The sequence below is a fragment of the Homo sapiens genome, chromosome 4 (genome assembly GCF_000001405.40).
Source record: "Homo sapiens chromosome 4, GRCh38.p14 Primary Assembly".
In the NCBI taxonomy this organism is placed as follows: Eukaryota; Metazoa; Chordata; class Mammalia; order Primates; family Hominidae; genus Homo; species Homo sapiens.
Window position 1 is genome coordinate 143927810 of NC_000004.12, and position 21685 is coordinate 143949494.

The 21685-nt window shown below is 37.2% G+C and overlaps 2 long non-coding RNA genes across 2 annotated transcripts in view; both read left to right on the plus strand.

Annotated features, from left to right (window-relative positions):
- Nucleotides 1–21685, plus strand: part of LOC105377459 (uncharacterized) — a 125977-nt gene that overhangs the window by 84409 nt on the left and 19883 nt on the right. The gene's annotated exons all lie outside the window — the stretch shown is intronic.
- Nucleotides 1–21685, plus strand: part of LOC101927636 (uncharacterized) — a 70124-nt gene that overhangs the window by 15479 nt on the left and 32960 nt on the right. The window contains exon 3 of the long non-coding RNA NR_125886.1: nucleotides 10058–10114. This is a non-coding gene — a long non-coding RNA (uncharacterized LOC101927636). The remainder of the gene's footprint in view (nucleotides 1–10057; nucleotides 10115–21685) is intronic.

Sequence of the window (21685 nt, forward strand, 5' to 3'; positions counted from 1 at the left end):
ATACCCAGATTAGATGAAAAACTCCAGTAACTCACAACAGCAAAAAAAAAAAAGCAATTAAATAATGGGAAAAGAACTTGAATAGAGATTTCTCCAAAGATGATATACCTATGGCCAAAAGTATATAAGAAGATGCTCAATATTGTTAATCATTAAGAAAATGCTGAGCAAAACCACAATGAGATATCACCTCACACCCATTAGAATTTCTATTAACATAAAAAAATCAGAAAATAACATGTGTGCTTATATATTTTAACATTCATTAGTTTTTCATTGGTTTGATACACTAAAATAAAGCATTCTATGAATTTATAATGCCATGCAAATAAAAATGTGCTCCAGTTATTGTTTGATGACCTCTGGTCATGGCTTCTCATTCACTGGGCAAGAGGAAGCCCAGAACCAATAACGGAAGCTCAACATAGTTCTGCAGCACCTTCACAAATTCTGTACTCAGCATGCTTGTCTTATTACTTTTCTGGTCTTTAGGTTGGAACCAGAAAGTAGTCTCACTCCTGGATTCTTTATGTCCTTGAAAGAGTTATTGACATATATGGTTTCCCTTTTTGGATTAGCATCATACTTCATAGAATCTTCTAGGCTTGTAGGATCTGTTTCTTAGTTTATAGTAAACAAAGGTCTACCTAGTTCATATTGTTCTTTTGTGAAAAGTAGAAAAAGGTGGCCTATTTGGAAAAACTCACCCTCATGGGCCATGTCTTAGTAAGTAGAATGTGGGACTGAACTCAGCATCCACATACCCATTCACTCAGATGCTCTTTTGCAATGGTCAAGGAGAGTAATTTTAGACATTAATTCCTCTTAGAAGATTTAAACAATGTAGTAGTTTGTAACATCACATAATTAGATCTCAAAACAAGCCTTCTGTATTAGTCCGTTCTCACATTGCTATAAAGATCTACCTGAGACTGGGTAATTTATGAAGAAAAGAGGTTTAATTGACTCACAGTTCCACAGGCTGTACAGGAAGCATGGCTGAGAGGCCTCAGGAAACTTATGATCATGGCAGAAGGTGAAGGGGAAGCAAATACATCTTACCATAGTGGAGCAGGAGAGAGAGAGAGTGAAGGGGAAAGTGCTACACACTTTTCAGCAATCAGATCTCATGGGAACTCACTCACCATCATGAGAACCGCATGTGGAAAATCCACTCCCGTGATCCAATCACATCCCACCATGTCCCTCCCCCAAAACTTGGAACTACAAATTGGCTTGAGATTTGGGTAAGGACATAGAACCAAACTGTGTAATTCTGTCCCTGGCCCCACCTAAATCTCATGTTCTTCTCACATTTCAAAACAAAAGCAGCAAGACTTCTCAACAGTCCCCCAAGTCTTAGCTCATTTGAGTGTTAACTCAAAAGACCAAGTCCAAAGGGTTATCTTAGACAAGGCAAATCCCTTCTGCCTATGAGCTTGTAAAATAAAAACAAGTTAGTTACTTCCAAAATACAATGGGAGTACAGGCATTGGGTAAATGCTCCCATTCCAAAAGGGAGAAATTGGACAAAACAAAGGGGTTACAGGCCCCACGCAAGTCCCAAACCCAGCAGGGCAGTCATAAATCTTAAAGCTCCAAAATAATCTCCTTTAACTCCATGTCTCACATCAAGGGCACACTCATGCAAGGGGTAGACTCCCAAAGCCTTGTGAAGCTCTGCCTTTATGGCTCTGCAGGGTACAGCCCCTGTGGCTGCTTTCACAGGCTGATGTTGACTGCCTGTAGCTTTTCCAGGAGCATGGTGTAAGCTGTCATTGGACCTACTATTCTGGGGTCTGGAGGACGGTGGCCTTCTTCTTACAGCTGCACTAGGGAGTGCCCCACTGGGGACTCTGTGTGGTGGCTCCAACCCCACATTTCTCCTCTGCACTGCCCCAGTAGAGTTTCTCCATGAGGAGAAGTCTGCCTGCAATAGGCGTTTTAATACATCCTCTGAAATCTAGGCCGAGGCTCCCAAACCTCAACTCTTCCCTTCTGTGTACCTGCAGGTTCAATACCATGTGGAATCTGCCAAGGCTTGAGGCTTGCACCCTCTGAAGCAATGGCCCAAACTGTACCTTGGCCCCTTTTAGCCACAGCTGGAGCTGGAGTGGCTGGGATGCAGGGTTCCATAACCTGAGGCTGCACAGAGCAGCAGGACCCTAAGCCCTGCCCACAAAAGCATTTTTCCCTCCTAGGTCTCCAGGCCTGTGATGGGAGGGCTGCTGTGAAAGTCTCTGAACTGTCCTGGAGTGATTTTCCCCATTGTCTTGGCAATTAACATTCAGCTCCTCTTTATTTATGCAAATTTCTAAAGCCAGCTTGAATTTCTCCCCAGGATGGGTTTTTCTTTTCTACTACATATTCAGGCTACACATTTTTCAAACTTTTCCCATTTGCTTCCCTTTTAAACATTTGCTTATGCAAATGAGTGTAAGTTTTTAAAAGCAGCCAGGCTACATGTTGAATGCTCTTCTGCTTAGAAATTTCTTCCCCCAGATACACTAAATCATCTTTCTCAAATTCAAAGTTCCACAGATTGCTAGAGCAGGAACACAATACCACAAGTCTTTTTGCTAAAGCATAGCAAGACTGACCTTTACTCCAGTTCCCAATCAGTTCCTCATCTCCATCTGAAACTACCTCAGCCTGGACTTCACTGTCCATTTCACTATCAGCATTTTGGTCACAACCATTCAACAAGTCTCTAGGAAGTTCCAAACTTTTTTTCACCTTCCTGTGTACTTCTGATCCTTCCAATCTGTTCCAGCCTCTGCCCATTACCCAGTTCCAAAGTCATTTCCACAGTTTCAGGTATCTTTATAGCAATGCCTCACTTCTTTGGTAACAATTATCTTTATTAGTATATTCTCACACTGCTATAAAGAACTACCTGAGACTGAGTAATTCCACAGGCTGTATAGGAAGCACAGCTGGGAGGCCTCAGGAAACTTAAAATCATGGTAGAAGACAAAGGGGAAGCAAGCACATCTTACCATGGCAGAGCAGGAGAGAGAGAGTGATGGGGAAAGTGCCACATATTTTTAAAAAAACAGATCTTGTGAGAGCTCATTCACTATCACAAGAACAGCAAGGAGAAAATCCACCCCCATGCTCCGATCACCTTCCACCTGGTCCCTCCACCATCATGGGGAATTACAATTTGACATGAGATTTGGGTGGGAGACATAGAGCCAAAGCATATTACCTTCTTTTATGACTTGATTTTTATAAGTTTTTAACCCCTCATTTTCTTTTATGACTAGACTCCCTATGTGACTAATCTGAGCTACTTTTGTGCTGTGATGCCAGGAGGTGAATTTCTCAAAAGAAGCTGGCATCTCTGATTCAAAGAGCAACACAAGTGAGGAGGATTCCCAAAGGTCTAATTACATAGCATAGCATTTTAACTAATGGGGGCAACTGTTCATTTGCTATGGCCAGATTGCAATCTTTAGAAATCCTCTACTTGTTCAGAAAGCTTTTTCTTTCTCTGTATTTAAGTTTTGTGTGTATCCAAGATCTTTCTATTATTTATTCCTGTGTCCTTGGAGGACATGATATAGACTCCTTCCCTGCTGAGAGAATTAAATATTTGAAAGAACAAGTTAATGAACACATTCTTACATTGTGTTCAAGATATTACATGAAATGTAGGCCAAATAGATCTTGTTGACCATCTGACTCAATTTTATAAATGAAAAAAATGTAGCCCTTGATATGAATGGATGGAATTGAATCTTTATGCTTTGGTTATTTTTAATCAACATTTTATCCTAAAAGGCCATTTCAGAACATATGTAAATGGATTAAAGAAATTAAAGTTCAAAACCTTGACTTCTTTAGAATAAATTGTCAAATATACTATAATACTCAAGTATTGGGTGTATTTGAAATTAATTTGAAGATTCTAGGTCACTCACTAAGAAAAAATAAAATGGTAACTTAAAATAGAAACTTTGAATCGGCAAAATTTATTTTTCTCTTCATATTTGCTATTTTAATCATTATTAAGATTTTACTTATATCTAAAGATTTCTTTGTTTACAGTAATAATATCACATTAAGGAATATAGACCAAATAATAAAGCACATTCTTTAAATAACTCTATTGATTGCTACAACATACACTTTCAGTCTTTAAAGTATTGTTTCGTGCAATGAAATCACTTAATAGCTTCAGAGAATGAGATAAAGAAGTGCAGTTGTTTCTCTAAGGTAATTCAAGGTTGACTGTATAAAACAAGCAACGGTAGGTATAACAAATCTGTTTCTTTGAAGCAAGAGATGGTGTTAATGTTAAGACAGTCTAGGAAACAGACAGACTCCTAGTTAGCATTGTAATTATGAGTTCTTAATATCACCTAAGATGCATAAGATCTCACCATCCCAAACAAAAAATAGGTATCGTTTCTAATGTGTATTTTCTTCTCTTTATGCTACTTATCTTTTTACCCAATCAACAGTCTTATTTCATCATATATCAAATATAATTTTCCCATATTGTTGATTGCAGACTATAAGTCAGATATTACTTTGAGGCTTTGGTTTTTACATCTTTGATAGAAGATATAATTTAACCTCAGTTTTACCTACTGGCTGGTGCCTGTCAACGTATTGCTTAAAGAACATCCAACTTACAAGGGCTGTGAAGGACCTCTTCAAGGAGACCTACAAACCACTGCTCAATGAAGTAAAAGAGGACACAAACAAATGGAAGAACTTTCCATGCTCATGGATAGGAAGAATCAATATTGTGAAAATGGCCATACTGCCCAAGGCAATTTATAGATTCAATGCCATCCCCATCAAGCTACCAATGACTTTCTTCATAGAATTCGAAAAAAACAACTTTAAAGTTCATATAGAACCAAAAAAGAGCCCGCATTGCCAAGTCAATCCTAAGCCAAAAGAACAAAGCTGGAGGCATCATGCTACCTGACTTCAAATTATACTACAAGTCTACAGTAACTGAAACAGCATGGTACTGGTACCAAAACAGAGATATAGACCAATAGAACAGAACAGGGCCCTCAGAAATAATACCACACATCTACAACCATCTGATCTTTGACAAACCTGACAAGACAAGAAACCTGGAAAGGATTCCCTATTTAACAAAAGGTGCTGGGAAAACTGGCTTTCCATATGTAGAAAGCTGAAACTGGATCCCTTCCTTATACAAAAATTAATTCAAGATGGATTAAAGACTTAAATGTTAGACCTGAAACCATAAAAACCCTAGAAGAAAACCTAGGCATTACCATTCAGGACACAGGCATGGGCAAGGACTTCATGTCTAAAACACCAAAAGCAATGGCAACAAATGCCAAAATTGACAAATGGGATCTAATCAAACTAAAGAGCTTCTGCACAGCAAAAGAAACTACCATCAGAGTGAACAGGCAACCTAAAGAATGGGAGAAAATTTTTGCAACCTACTCATCTGACAAAGGGCTAATATCCAGAATCTACGATGAACTCAAACGAATTTACAAGAAGAAAACAAACAACCCCATCAAAAAGTGGGCAAAGGATATGAACAGACACTTCTCAAAAGAAGACATTTATGCAGCCAACAGACACATGAAAAAATGCTCATCATCACTGGCCATCAGAGAAATGCAAATCAAAACCACAATGAGATACCATCTCACACCAGTTAGAATGGCGATCATTAAAAAGTCAGGAAACAACAGGTGCTGGAGAGGATGTGGAGAAATAGGAACACTTTTCCACTGTTGGTGGGACGGTAAACTAGTTCAACCATTGTGGAAGACAGTGTGGCAATTCCTTGGGGGTCTAGAACTAGAAATACCATATGACCCAGCCATCCCATTACTGGGTATATACCCAAAGGAATATAAATCATGCTGCTATAAAGACACATGCACACGTATGTTTATTGCAGCACTGCTCAGAATAGCAAAGACTTGGAACCAACCCAAATGTCCATCAATGATAGACTGGATTAAGTAAATGTGGCACATATACACCATGGAATACTATGCAGCCATAAAAATGATGAGTTCATGTCCTTTGTAGGTACATGGATGAAGCTGGAAACCATCATTCTCAGCAAACTATCACAAGGACAAAAAACCAAACACCGCATGTTCTCACTCATAGGTGGGAATTGAACAATGAGAACACATGGACACAGGAAGGTGAACATTACACACCGAGGTCTTTTGTGGTGTGGGGGGAGCGGGGAGGGATAGCATTAGGAGATATGCCTAATGTAAATGATGAGTTAATGAGTGCAGCACACCAACATGGCACATGTATGTATACGTAACAAACCTGCACGTTGTGTACATGTACCCTATAACTTTAAGTATAATAAAAAACTTAAAAAAAGAATAACTCAAAAAGAAAAGAACATTTAGAAGTATAGGCTGGGTGATTATTGATCATAGTCAGCAAACCACTGGCCTGAGGTACACCTAAATCAATCTTCACACTTTGTTGCTTAAATTGACTAACAACTCCACAAAAAATAGACTTATTTACAAAGGAAATGAGATCTCTTGCTCTAAAGTTTTAGATTAACCTTGAGATAGCTGTGCCTTTTTGTGTTAGAGCACAATTATTTTATAAAGATCATGAAATGGCTACAATATGTGCTCTGAGAACTCAGCATTCAGAGATGGTACTGTGTGCTGTTTTGTGTAGGAGATATATGCTTCTAAAAACTCATAATGAAATAATGTATTCAGTGTAGGCATGACTTTTTCATAATTGATGTGGGTAGAGATGAGATTAATAAAAGAATAAAGCTTCCTAGAAATTTAACAGAGCTTGAATAATATTTAAAACATTAAATTATTTTGATTTACAGCAGATCCATAAATTCTAACCTTTTGGAATGGTATTTTAAAGCTGAAAGAAACCATATAGTCTATTTTCCTTAGTTTACAAATGAGAAAAGTAAACGTCAGAAAAATAAAATAATCAACAACCAAGTAAGCATTGGAACTTGGGTCTCTGGCAGTGGAAATACTTATATTTCAACCACAAAATTCAAAAATAGCAACTTGATACTGATATTGCTGTGAGGTCCTTTCTGAAATCCCTCAAATATTACATGCTTTAGTCACTCCGCCAGAACAATCTGATCATAAATGCTTCAGTCTCTGAGTTCTGTTGTCCAGTGATCTATACAAAACATTCATGATGAGGCAGGGGATACTAGTTCATTTGGACTTTTGAAGGATATTCAAATGCAAGAGAAATGGAAGCCAAAGGGAGCGGGCAGCAGATGACAAAATGAGAGAGGGACTAGGAAAGTAGGTGTTGGAGAAATTATGTGGAGAAAACCCAAGGCCATGGGGTTGAATAGGGGATTGAGGTTAATTTGAGGGCCTGAATCAATTATGGGATTCAATGTGAGTTACCTTGTTAATTGGGTAAATGGGGGACCAATCAAATGACACTGGAGAGAAGAGTAAAATGAGCGCACTTATCTAGAACCTCTTTAAAATCATCAATGTCAGTTAATGCAATATTTGTGGTTTGAAGCTGAGCTGAGTCAACTCTTGTATAGTTTGGCTATTGATATGGCTTTTCTTTAAAAGCACAAGTTCAGGAACATAAACATCATTTATTCCCAATTAAAACTGAGTAGTTATTGTAAACTGTTGTAATTATTGTTTGTGTTGAGTTAGAGTATTTTGTAGCATCAATAATGGCAAAAATGTGAATATAATAATTGTCAATTAATATGTAAATTAAGCAGCAAAGAGGTTTAATTGCCATTTTATTAAATGTTACTCTTATAGAATGAGGTAAGCTGTTTGATTGTCTAAAAGTTCACTTTATTAACAGAATGAAAATTTGAAGAAAATGTTTAAAGTTGAAAAATTCAGATTGAAAGGAAAAGGGAAAGAAAAATTCTAGCTATTTATCTTGAACTTTTCATTAGTCACCCTGTAGCCCTTTTTCCACAATCACTCTGACCATTGCAACACTTACTTTCCTAAAGTTTTCAAAGTATTTTGTGTGGACAACCTCTAGAGAATTCAAAAGAGAATGGTAATGTAATAAAGGGCATACTAATTGGCAGTGTCATGAGGAGTCATTGAGAATAAATTCCAAAGTGTGAGAATTGTGGTCTCTCAGGGAAATTGTTTTTAATTCTTCAAACATTTACTTTATTGAACTACAGGAGACAAATAGGTGCAACAACCAATATAGCTGTGTCCTTAAAATATAAAATAGTGGCCGGGCGCGGTGGCTCACGCCTGTAATCCCAGCACTTTGGGAGGCCGAGGCGGGCGGATCACGAGGTCAGGAGATCGAGACCATCCCGGCTAAAACGGTGAAACCCCGTCTCTACTAAAAATACAAAAAATTAGCCGGGCGTAGTGGCGGGCGCCTGTAGTCCCAGCTACTTGGGAGGCTGAGGCAGGAGAATGGCGTGAACCCGGGAGGCGGAGCTTGCAGTGAGCCGAGATCCCGCCACTGCACTCCAGCCTGGGCGACAGAGCGAGACTCCGTCTCAAAAAAAAAAAAAAAAAAAAAAAAATATATATAAAATAGTGTGGATATTACATACAGAAGAGAGAAAAATCTTCCTAAGTAGATCCCTATTAATTATAATAAGAGCTAATATATAAATTGAATACTTACTATACTTTATGCTCAGTATTTTTTATGCATTATCACCTTCAATCTTCCAGCTCGATGAAATATGTATCATTTTCCTTATTTTACAGAAGGAAACTTAAGCTTAGGGATGTTAAGCAACTCTTCCAAGGCCACATGAGCTGGGTTTCATGTGTAAACATAGTAATAAACTCTTATTACCAAGATAATATCTGTGGTTATCATGAACTTCAATAGATGTGACACCTAGGCAACTTGAAATAATTGGAGGAGAATTATGTGACAGGTGCTGTCACAGAGAAGCCTTAGATTCAAGGGCAAATTTGGGGGCACAATCTTCAAAGGATAAAGAGATGAATATGGGCCATTGTATAAATGTTACCCTCTTTACTAATAGAGCTTCTCTGAAGTTCTTGGGGGAAAAAAAGACCCCAGAAAGGATTACTGTCCCTAGAGTACTGCTTCTTGCAAGATTTATGTAAAGTTGAAGGCTCTTTTGAGGGAAGACGACAGGGAGAAGTCAAAGAGAGCTTTCTCTCATTCATGTCAGGGAGACATCCATGTTGCTACTCTCTCAGCTTTACTCTGTTATAATTATAATAGTGGAAGGAATGAAATTTGTTATACACTTCTGACACAGAATTGACTTACCTTGCCAGAAAATTCTGGTTGACTATGGTAATCATGTTCAATGGATCAACTGAAAAGACCATACATCATTATGTGTTTTAGCTCTAGAGGACTCCTGTGAGTGAGGGTACATTTAAATAATATGCCAAAAAAACCTAGTAAAGTAGAAACCTAACAGATTTTTGTGTACAAGCATAAGGGAAATACATTTACTATGCTGTTAGTTGATTTTGTCATATCTGATTTTGCAATTGCTAAACAAATAATAGAAAATGAATATTACAATCTGTTTAATTTAAAAATGAATGAAAAGAAAAGTAGATATAAAATAAAGCTGTGAGAAGACATGGTTATTTTTGTCTTTGTGTTTTTTCTTTTCCACCAAGAATTCATCCATCTTTGCTCTAGGAAATAATTTAGAATTTATGTAGATTTTTCACTCAAACTTAAAAAGAATCCTTCAAGGCTTAGAAAATTTACGCATAGCGTCTTTCCAAAATTTTTTTTGAAAAAATTTACTTTTGCTATTATTTAATATGCTTCATCCACACCAAGATTCATATTGAGGCTTGATCCCCAATGTAATAGTGTTGAGAGGTGGTGGGATCCTTAAGAGGTGTTTGGGTCATAAGAGATCTGCCATTATGAAGAGATTAATCCCATCTCTTTTGAGTGAGCGTAGGTCTGGAATAGCAACCCGAGAGTGAGTTGTTATAAATCAAGGTCATCCTTCATGTTTTGTCTTCATTGCATGTGCCTGCTTGCTGTTCTTGCATGTGTTCCTGTCGTGTGATGCCATCACTATGTTGTGATGCAGCATGAGGCCCTCACCAGATACAGCCACCTGATCTTGGACTTCACAGCCTCCAGAAATGTGAGCTAAATAAATCTCTATTCTTTATAAATTACTCAGTCTCAGGTATTCTCTTGTAGCCACAGAAAATGGACTAACATAACTTCCTTAATATTGGCTCGTTTTTTCAAAAAAGTATATATTTCTGTAGCACATTTTTTAAAAAGAATATAATTGAATGCAAAATGTAAATGAATGTAATTACCATTACTGACCATTATCACAATGGGCAGCATCTTCTTATCATCACTAGAGCAGCGGTCCCCAAGCTTTTTGGCATCAGAGACTGGTTTCGTGGAAGACAATTTTTCTGTGGACCGGGGCAGGAGGAAGATGATTTGGGGATGAGACTGTTCTACCTCAGATCATCATCAGATCATCAATTTTTTTTTCTTTCTTTTTTTTTTTTTTAGACAGAGTCTCGCTCTGTCGCGCAGGCTAGAGTGCACTGACGCAATCTCGGCTCACTGCAAGTTCTGCCTCCTTGGTTCATGCCATTCTCCTGCCTCAGCCTCCCGAGTAGCTGGGACTACAGGCACCCGCCACCATGCCCGGCTAATTCTTTGTATTTTTAGTAGAGATGGGGTTTCACCGTGTTGGCCAGGATAGTCTTGATCTCCTGATGTCGTGATCTGCCCTCCTCGGCCTCCCAAAGTGCTGGGATTACAGGCGTGAGCCACCGCGCCTGGCCCAGATCATCATTCTCCTAAGGAGCATGAAAGCTCGCATGGACGTTTCACAATAGGGTTCACACTCCTATGAGAATCTGATGCCACCGCTGATCTGACAGGAGATGGAGCTCGGGCGGTAATGCTCACTCGCCTGCCACTCACTTCCTGCTGTGCAGCCCAGTTTCTAAGAGGGCACAGATAACACCTTGAGGTTTAAGCCCTGTAGATTAGCTTTGACTCTGCTTGTACATTATATAAATATATAAACGGAATCTTACAGTACATATTCGTTTGTGTCTGGCTTCTTTCACTCAATAGTGTTGAGAGATTCATCCATGTGGTGTGTTGCTACACATGTTTATTTCATGGCTACATAGTGTTACATTGAATAAATATACTAGAATATATTTGTTCTACTGTTGATAGACACTTGAATTTTCTCCAATTTGAGGCTATTAAGAATAACGGTGCCATAAGCACTTTGTAAATGTCTTTCAGTTCACATTTGTACATACTGCTGTCAGGCGCAGATCTACAGATGGAATTGCTGGGTGATATGATATGCATACATACGGCTTAATAGATACTGGCAAACAGTTTTCCAAAGGGATTATGCCAATTTACACTCCCATTAGCAGTGACTTCGAGTTCCAGTTGCTCTGTCCATATCATTTACAATACTTGACATATGAGTCCTTTTGTACTTTGACCATTTTGTTTGATATGCAGTGGTATGTCATTTTAGCTTTAATTTCTGTCTCCCTGAAAGTTAGCAAGACTAAATTTGCCTATCTTAAAATCAAGTTTTCTTTTTGAAAAAAATTGATTTTTCTAAGTTCTTGATATACTCTCAATATGAATTCTTTCTTTGTTATATTTATTGCAAATAATAGCTCTGAGACTTGCCTTTCACTTTCTTGTGTCTTGTGATAAACAGGAGTTCTTAATTTTAATGTGGTCTAATTTCTCAATTTCTCAGTCTTTTCTTTTACGGCTAGTGCTTTTTGTGCTCTGCTTAAGAAACTTTTGCCTACCCAAAAGTCTTAAAAATACTTTCTAACATTATTTTTTTAGAAACTCTATTTTTTCTTTCATACCAATCTTCAATTCACCTAAAATGGTATGTAGTATGAAGGAAGGGTTAATATTTTTCACTATGGATAGTCTGCTGACTCAGCATAATTTCTTTTTTCTTTTCTTTTTCTTTTTCTTTTTTTTTTTAGAGATAGAATCTCACTCTGTCACTCAGGCTGGAGTGCATTGGCATGATCTTGGCTCATTGCAACCTCTGCCTCCTGGGTTCAAGTAATTCTCATGCTTCCGCCACCCAACATAGTGGGATTACAGGTGTGTGCCACCGAGCCAGTCTAATGTTTGTAATTTTAGTAGAGATAGGGGTTTTGCCATGTTTGCCAGGCTGGTCTTGAACTCCTGGCCTCAAGTGATCAGCTTTGCCTCCGAAAGTGCTGGGATTACAGGCGCGAGCCACTGTGCCTGGCCTGACTCAGCATAATTTATTTTAAGAAACAGATTTCCCTTTTTTATAGCAGCAACATGGTAATAAATCAAGCATCTATATATGTGTGGGTCTTTTTCAGAATTGTTTTTTACTACATTGGTCTACTTGTCCATGTTTACTCCAGTTCCACAGTTTTAATTATGGTAACTTTATAATTTATACTGATATCTTGTAGTATAGGTCCTCTGACTGTCTTTTCTTCGTCAATATTGTCTGGGTTTTTTTTGTGGCTCTTTGCAATTTCAAGTACGTTTTATAATGAGCTTGATAAATTACATGAAACATTCTACTGGTATTATAATTGGTATTGTGAGAAACAAACCTACCTGTCCAAACCCAAAGAATGGACTCAGAGACCTGGAGAACAGCGAAAGGGAAACTTGTAATGATGCTCTTGCAAGAATTGGGTGTCTGATGTGCAGGCACACACAGCACAGTTTTAACAAGCAATTTAACCCCTAGTGTGCAGGTCCCTCTCCTGGTTTTTCATAGGCTTAATACTAGGGGGTCACAATCTTCCTGGAGGTCACCTATTGATTGTTGGGCAGGGGCTTTAGGTGTTTGTTAGTTTGTTTGTTTTTTTTTAGGGTTGTTTTGCTGCATTTTGTTGCAGCCCACAATGCATTGCAATCCTAGTTAGCTTAGGGGCTCTTCAAGTATTTACTTATGAGCTAAGTAGCTGGGCAGGCTAATAAAAACAGACAAAACGAACTATTTTGCAGGCTAGTAAACTTTTATCTTAGACTAAACTTCTTTGGTTCTGGTGAAGGCAAGGAAACAGGGTTGTGGGGGTGGAGTGGGGGAGGGGGAGGCCAACAAGCAGGCATTGGCTATCTAAGCAGGAAGCCTAGTATGTTCTGTTTCTTCTGTAGTTTGCTAACGTAAGTCTATTTAAGGCACTTTGTCTTGGAAATGGACCATGGGCCATTGTATACATTATTTCCTTCAGTATTGGAGATACTCTTTATAGAATAATTTAAAAATAATATACATGTTTATGGTATTGAATATCTTCCTTTTATTTAGGTCTTTTGAAATTTTTTTAAATAACGTTTCATATTTTTTGTGTAGAGCTTTGCACATTTGTTAATTTATTTCTAGATATTTGGTCTTTTGATATAATTGTTAATGATATAATTTTTAAAATATCATTTTTAATCACTTATTGGTATATAAACAGAGATTTTTCATATTGACCTTGAACTCTGTGATTTTTCTAAATTCATTTAATCAATAATTTTCCTATGGATTATCTTGCAGCTTGGATATAATACAGTCTATAAGTAATGACAGTTTTTCTTTCTAATCTTTATATGTATTATTTTTATTGCATTATTATGCATGCTAGGATCTTTTTCCTACCAATGTTAAATAAAACTGTTGTTAATAAGGGGAACCTGTCTCCTTTGCAATGTCAGATAAAAAGTTTTCAATATTTCTCCATTAAATATGATATTTATCATAGGTTTTTGAAAATGCTTTTTAAAGGTATGTGATCTCATTTGGATTTGTGTCCTTACCTAAATCTCATGTCAAAGGGGAGGAGGGGCCTGGTGGGAGATGACTGGAGCATGGGGATGGATTTCCTCCTTGCTGTTCTCATGATAGTGAGTGAGTTCTCACAAGATCTGATGGCTTAAAAGAGTGTGGCCCTTCCCTCTTCTCTCTCACTACTGGTCTGCCATGACAAGACATGCTTACTTTCCCTTTGCCTTCTGCCATGATTGTAAGTATCCTGAGGCTTCCCACCCATGCTTCCTGTTAAGCCTGCAGAACTGTGAGCCAATTAAGCCTCCTTTCTTCATATATTACCCCTTCTCAGATAGTTCTTTGTAGCAGTGTGAGAATGCACTAATATACAGTATGAAAATGAATATTTATTTAGATTAAGAAATATGCACCACAAATTATTGGAAACTTAGAGATTTGAGTTCATTTCTTCTGAGACAACTTTACACAATTTTCCAGACATGTTAACATATAAATGTTTCTTGGTTGCAACCCACTTTGCTCTCTCTCCAGAATTCTCTACAATCCCCAGCAATTCCTAACACTTATAGGGGCCTGTGAAAATGAAGGCTCTGAAAACTGGGCCTCAAAAACGTGATAATTTCATCTGAGAAATTTTTTCAGTTTGGCTGTAGTTTTCTTTCTCTTGATGTTAATTCTGAAAACTTTCTTAAGATTATCTTGTAAATACTCTATCATATTAAAGAAATTTCTTTCTATTGCTAGTTAGGAAGTTTTTATCATAAATGGGCATTGGATTTTATCAAAAAATTCAACATCTGTTTGTTGCTGCATCTATTGAGATAGTGACAGGATAATTTCTCCTTTATTATTGTACTGAGCTATCATGATTGAAATTCAAGGGTCTGTTCCTAAATAAAACCTACTTGGTTGTGATATGTTATTCTTTTTAGAAATCACCAGATTAGATTGCTGATATTGCTTCAGAATGTTTGAGTTAGACGTTTCCTTTTTTATAATATACTCATCAGGGTGTCTTGGATTCACAACATGAGATGAAAAGTGTTCTCTCTTCTATTCTACACAATAGATTGTGTAAGTGGTGTTATTTATTTCTTAAATGTTTAGAGAAATTCATTAATAAACACATATGGGTCTGAATTTTCTTTGTGGCAAGGTTTTAATTTCAGATTCAAAATTATTGTTAGTATAGAATTATTCCAATTATTTTCTGTTGTATCAATTTTGATAAAATGTGTTTTAATGTAAGTTTTCAAATTTGTTAGCACAAAATTGTTCTTAAAATTCTCTTTATCTGTCTAATAAATGTTGACTTTATGGTGACATTCCTTTTTAGTCTTTCTGTTGGTAATCCGTACCTTTACTGTTTTTATTCTTTGTTAGTTTTTTCAAAGGTTATACATTTATTTGCCTTTTCGAGGAACAATTTTGGGTTTTATTTACCTTCATTGCATTTTTTGTCCTGACTCAATTTCTGTTTGAATCTTTGTTACTCTTTCTTTCTAACTTATTGGGGTCTAATCTACTATTATTTTTCTATCTTCTTTAGGTGACTACTTCAATCATTGATTTTTAGCCCTTCTGTTTTCTAGAATAGATGTATTAAAGATGATCATTTTTTCTTAAAGCACATCCATAGCTGCATTTTATAAGATTTGATATGTAATATTTTTATTATCATCCAGCTCAGTGTATATTCTAACTTCATTGGGATTTCTCCCTTTAGCTATGGGACTTTTTAGGAGAGTATTGCTTAGTTTTTCAATATTTGATACATTTTTTGGTTACATTCTATTATTGATTTCTACCTCATTTCCAGTGACTACACACTGTATAACTTCAATCCTTCAAAATTTGTCAATGTGTGTTTTTTTCTTTGTTCTTACCTTTTATTGTCCTCTCCTTTCTTAAAAATGAGTTTTTCTCTTTTGCTTCTTAACCATTCTTTTACTGTTAATTTTTTTAAGGTGTTACCCTAGAGATTATACATGAATTCCTGGCTTATTTAATTCTAATAAAAATTAGTAATTTTTCCCCTTTTTGGACAATCTAAGGATTTAAAATGATTTCACTTACTTTTCTACTTCTCCCATTTTCTTCTATTGTCATTTATTTTAGTGCTATTTGTATATTATTCTATAAACTCCTCAATATATGATTGTTATTTTACATGTTTAATATTCATTTAGTTTTTTTATTGCTATTTATGTATTTATTTATTCTTTTTTATTTCTGTGCTTTCACTTGAAATTATTTTTTTTGACTTGAAGGGCTCCCTTTAGAATTTGTTTTGCTGCAGCCCTACTGGTAACATTTTCTTTTTGTTTTGTGCTTGTATAAAAATGTTTTTATTTAACATTCATTTGGGGGAATATTTTTGTTAGATACAAAATTCTAGGCTGCAGTTATTTTCTTTTAGCGTTTTGAAAGTGCTTGTTGTCATCTGGCTTCCAATATTTCAATTGTGAAATTAACTGTCAGACTGATGATTATTCCTTTTAAAAGTATTATGTGGTTTTTTTTTCTATCTGCAAAGATTTTCCTCTTTGTCTTTTTAGATATCTTTCTTTTTATGTGGTTAGGCAGTTGTTTTGAATTTTTCCCAGTTGGGCACGGTAGTATTTTGTGAACTGTGACTTTTATCACTTGGAAATTCTTCAGCTACTTCTTCTTCAGATATTACCTCTGTTCTAGTCTCTGTTACCTCTTCTCTGGAATTCCAGTTACATATATTTTAGACCTTTCAGACCATATTCCATACATGGCATTAGTCCCATCTTTTGATGTCTCATTGCAGTTTTTCTAATTTTCAGTTCTAGAATTTCCACTTGATTCTGTTCTAAAATTTCCAGTCCTTTTTTGAAATTATTCATATTACCAGCAAATTTCTTGAGCATATTAACCGCAGTAATTTAAAAATCCATATCTAAAACTTTCAACATCTGGATCTCCTGTTGGCTTCTTTCTTTTTCTTTTTCTTTTTCTTTCTTTCTTTTTTTTTTTGACAGAGTCTCGCTCTGTCAGCCAGTCTGGAGTGCAGAGGCACAACCTCAGCTCACTGGAACCTCCGCCCCCCGGGTTGAAGCATTTCTCATGCCTCAGCTTCCCAGGTAGCTGGGATTACAGGCACCCACCACCATGCCCGGATAATTTTTGTATTTTTAGTAGAGATGGGGTTTCACCATTTTGGCCAGGCAGGTCAGGGAGAGACCTGCCAGGCAGGCTCTGGGAGAGACGTTTTGTCAGAAAACTTCCACATCTCAGGACAAACTGCATTCCTGAAGGACAATGGAAATCCACTGAAAATGAACTCATAATAAAACATTATAAACCAGACAGGGAAAAGAGCGTCATGAAGAATCAGAAAACATAACATTTTCTCTTAAAAAAGCCCTCTAAAGACTGCAGACAATAAAGCAATCTGAAAGCAGCTATAAGTATGTTGAAAAAAAAGAAAATAATAGGAAAAGGAACATTAGGAAAAAAATGTTTATGTGGTAGCTTTCTATGCTTCATTCTTCAGAAATTTCCCTCACCCACCCCCAGATTTCTAAGTCCTATGCATTAACAGATATCGTTGTCCCTTTGAAGACACCTGTATTAATTTGCCAGGATTGCCATAATAAAGCACCATGGATTGGGGTGCCAGAAGTCCCAGATCAAAGGGTTTGTGGAGTTGGTTTCTTTGAGAGCTGTGAGGGAGAATCTGTTTCATGTCTGTGCCCTAACTTCTGGTAGTTTGCTAGAAATCTTTGGTGTTCCTTGGCTTCTATGGTATCATCCTGATGCCTGCCTTCATCTTCCTAAGGTATTCTCCCTGAGTGTGTCAAAATTTCTTTTTTTTATGAAGATATCAGTCCTGTTGGATTTGAGGTGCACCCTACTCCTGTATAATCTCATTTTAGCTTGTTACATCTGCAGTGATCCTGTTTGCAATTAAGGTCACATTCTGAGATACTTGGGAGTTAGGATTTCAACACATGAATTTTTGGGAGACAAGGCATAATTCAATCCATCGCAACACCCAAATATAAATTGACTATTTTTAGAATTTTTCAGTCTTATTAGAATGGTAGAAACACAGAAGTCTTCCAATGTCCTCATTCTATGCCAAAATAGAAAACTTGAAGTAAATAAGAAAGAGAGGCATTTCAGATAACCTTTAGGCTTTCAGGCTATGTACCAAAAAGACACCATTAAGAGGCAAGACATGACCCACGGTAAGATAAGAAGATAGGAAGCTTCTCTACTGCAAACTCCTAGGACTTATAACATTGCTTTCAAAAAACTTCTTAAAGTATCTAAGTATTTTCTTGTGTAATGTTATACATCTGAGCACATAATATTTAGAATAAGTAATATATCTGATGTCTTCAAAATAATGAAAATAAATATTTTAACTGTTCCAAAGTTTGCTTTGGGGTCTTGAGATTTAGCCAATGACCGAATAAAAATATTAATAATGATTTTGTATATTTCGTATAATGCTATCAACCTGCCATCAGCACTTTATAGTACTTTTCCCCAGGGGTTGTTGTGATTGTTTGTCACTATTTCATCGTTAGTAATAGAACTAATAGAATTTTTCTGAAAGAGTTAATGTGGGGGTCAAATAAGGTAACAAATGTAAAGCACTTACTAGCGTGCCTGGGACAGAGTAATTGCTCAATAAATGTTACTGTTATTATTAGAGTATAGAAGGTGCTGCATTTTTAAAAAACTTCGTGAAGTGTTTTCCCTTTTTGGTGATACAATTCAGGGGTGCTCCTATGCCATTTTTTCTTCAAGAAAGAGAAGGGTTGGTGCCACCCAGAAAAAGAGCTCATGGTGTAGTAAAGAAGTTAGAAATGTAAACATAATCCAGTCACTTAGATAATTAGTCTAGGAAGTATGGGGCCACTTCATTTTTAAGAGAAAAGGTTAGACTATAATAATGTATCTGGATACATCGGCTCTAAAGGAGAAGGAAAACGAAGTTAGAGAAGGTTCCTCTGATGGTCTGCCTTTTCTGTATGAAGTATGGAGCAAGATCATTGGTGGGAAATTAAAGATGGGAGTGGAGTAGAGTATTTGAGAGGGGTAAAGTGTTGGAAGTACTCCCCCGAAGAATACAAATGTGAGCTGAATGGAGTCAGTACTGAGTCCAATTGAACACAAGGTCTAGTTGAAGCCATCATTTTGTAGCTGAAGCCAGTAAAAACTGTTGTTTTATTTTACTCTCCTTTATCATTTCTATTCTATTTAAATGTTATCCTATTTTATTTTATTTTATTTGATGTAATTGGTTGAGGCAAAGCTGAACATCGTATGGGCACAAGCTAAGAAGTGACTGATGGCATCCACCCAGGCCTGGATTGAGGCAGAGAGAGGAGAAGAGGGTGAGGGAGCTGATGATGTGGGTGAAGTCACCAACTAACCAGGCAGGAGGGAAGGAATTGACAGCAGGATGTGCTGATACAGGAAAAACAGGTATCTCTATGGTGGAAGAACAGATATGGCAGCAGAAAGGGGATGAGAGAAATAGGAGGAAACCTGTTGCTAAGAATGTGGTATTTGAGGATCTGAGAAGTTGGACCTGGTGCAGTTCCAGGTGGTTGATCTGGGGTTTGGGGTGCAGGGAATGGAATGCTTCCATACAGCCAGGGGACAGGATAAGGAGATAAAGAGATGAAGGTGAAGGCAAACTGTCAATTTCTCAGTCTCATAGTCCTTGGCTGTGCTCCTGTGTTAGCTGCGATTTCAAAATAGGTCACTTCCTGTCCTTACTTTACTCTGTCTCCTCTCCATCGCCTACTTGGCATCTTGTGTCTTTTCAATGTCATGTTAAGAGTTCACTTTCCCAATCAGGAGAAGCACAGGACATAAATCAATGTAATTAATGCATGTTTCTTTCTTTCTCAAAGACTTGCCTAAATAAAACCTTACAATTTATTTTAGTGAACAAATTAAATGTTGACTTTTAAAAACACAGTACTTGTACTTTTTAACCTTCAAAGAACTTTACACATATTAAGGTCATTACTCTTTTTAACACTCCTAGAGTCTTTGAGTTGAACATACGTGTTCAAAAGATTAACACAGAGGGTGAGGATGTTTGGCTGTCAGATGTAGTTTTTAGCTGTAATATCTGGCCTTTGAGATAATATTGCTCTGGCCATGTCTGAAAGCCAGGAAATAATGATTTCTGTTCCACTTTCTGTCAATGGGGAGCTATTATTACCCCCTTCAGTGTGAACTCATTTAGGACTACAAAAATAAAAATTGTTAATAATGGTTAATTATCAGATTAGAATTTCAAAGGGGAAAAATAATAGATATTAGTTTCCTCTGAAATTCACAAGCCAACTAAAGCCATTCCAAGCTTCCTGAGGCCCCTTCTCTCCTCTGTTTCTTATTTCATTTCATGCCTCCCTCTCCTTCTCTTTGGATTTCTCTCTTCTTATTTATTTCTCTGTATACAGGGGATTTTTACTCCCCTCAAGTTCTCTTCATTGGTGCCACTCTTCTTATATACCTGGCTCTTTTTTCTTCACCTTCTGATTTTCCACGTTTTCTTTTTCCTGCTTTCCCTTTTCTTACTTTACCATTTCCTTTTTGTTAAATTTCTGAAGCAGTCGGGAACAAGATATTTTTTCTAACTAATTTCCCTCTTCCTTCCTTCCTTCCCTTCCCCTTCCTTCCTTCCTTCCTTCTTCTTCTTCTCTCTTTCTTTCTTTCTTTCTTTCTTTCTTTCTTTCTTTCTTTCTTTCTTTCTTTCTTTCTTTCTCTTTCTTTCTTTCTCTCTGTCTCTCTTTTCTTTCTTTTACTTTCTTTCTTCTTTTCCAGGGGCTCACTCTGTTGCCCAGGTTGGAGAGCAGTGGCATGATCATGGCTTACTGCAGCCTCAACCATCCAGGCTGAAGCAATCCTTCTACGTCTAGCTCCTGAGTAGCTGGGACTACAGATGTGCTCCACCACGGCTGGCTAATTTTGTTTGTTTATTTATTTATTTGTTTGTTTGTTTACTTCTTTATTTATTGAGACAAGGTCTCACTATGTTGCCCAGGCTTGTCTCCAACTCCTGGACTCAAGTGACCCTCCTGCCTTCAGCTCCCAAAGTGCTAGGGTTACAGGTGTGAGTCACCGCACCCAGTCTATCATTTCCTTCTACAACATCTACACCTCCTTGTCCTGTCCTCTGGTCGCATGGATGCACTGCATTCCTGACCCAGCCCTGGGATCAACCCCTCTATGCTCACTTTTACTTTTTATTACTATAGCAACAACAAGGGCTATTATTATTAATTAAAATTTATTGAACACATACCATGTGTCAGGCAAGTAGATTACTTTCTGTTTAGAAAATGCCATCACAAAGGGGACAACACATACAAAAGACAATGATCTGAATCTGCAAGTGGGAAAAAAACTAAAATGGATTTTCAGTTGTTTGAAATAAAATTCCTTGCCATCAGCATTTGCTCAATATTGATAAAGGGAAGATTCAGGTCCCTTTGTAAGAGAGAGAGGGAAAAAACAGAGACATTGATTGAATCCATACTGTGAAACTGTGCAGTAGGTATTGACCCATCATTGCTCTCAAACAATGGAAAAAGAGTGAGATGAATTTGCTTTGTGTAGTAGCCAATCACTCAGGTGGCTGAGTCACAAACAAGATTTAATCTCTGATTGCTGCACAAAAATGTCTACAAAGAAGCTCCTGTGGAAGACATTTTTCCTCACCTATTCAAGGTTGCAGAGGTAGTTGTCTTTGTGACTTGTGAGTGGTGTAGGAGTGTGAAGAGTATAAATTAGAGAAGAATATAAGGAAGTTTGCTGTGTGTTTAGCAGGAACTGCATCCTAAGAAAGAATCAAGATCCTGCAGCCAAGAAGAGAACTGGGATCCAAAAGGTCTCATTAAAACAGGTTAA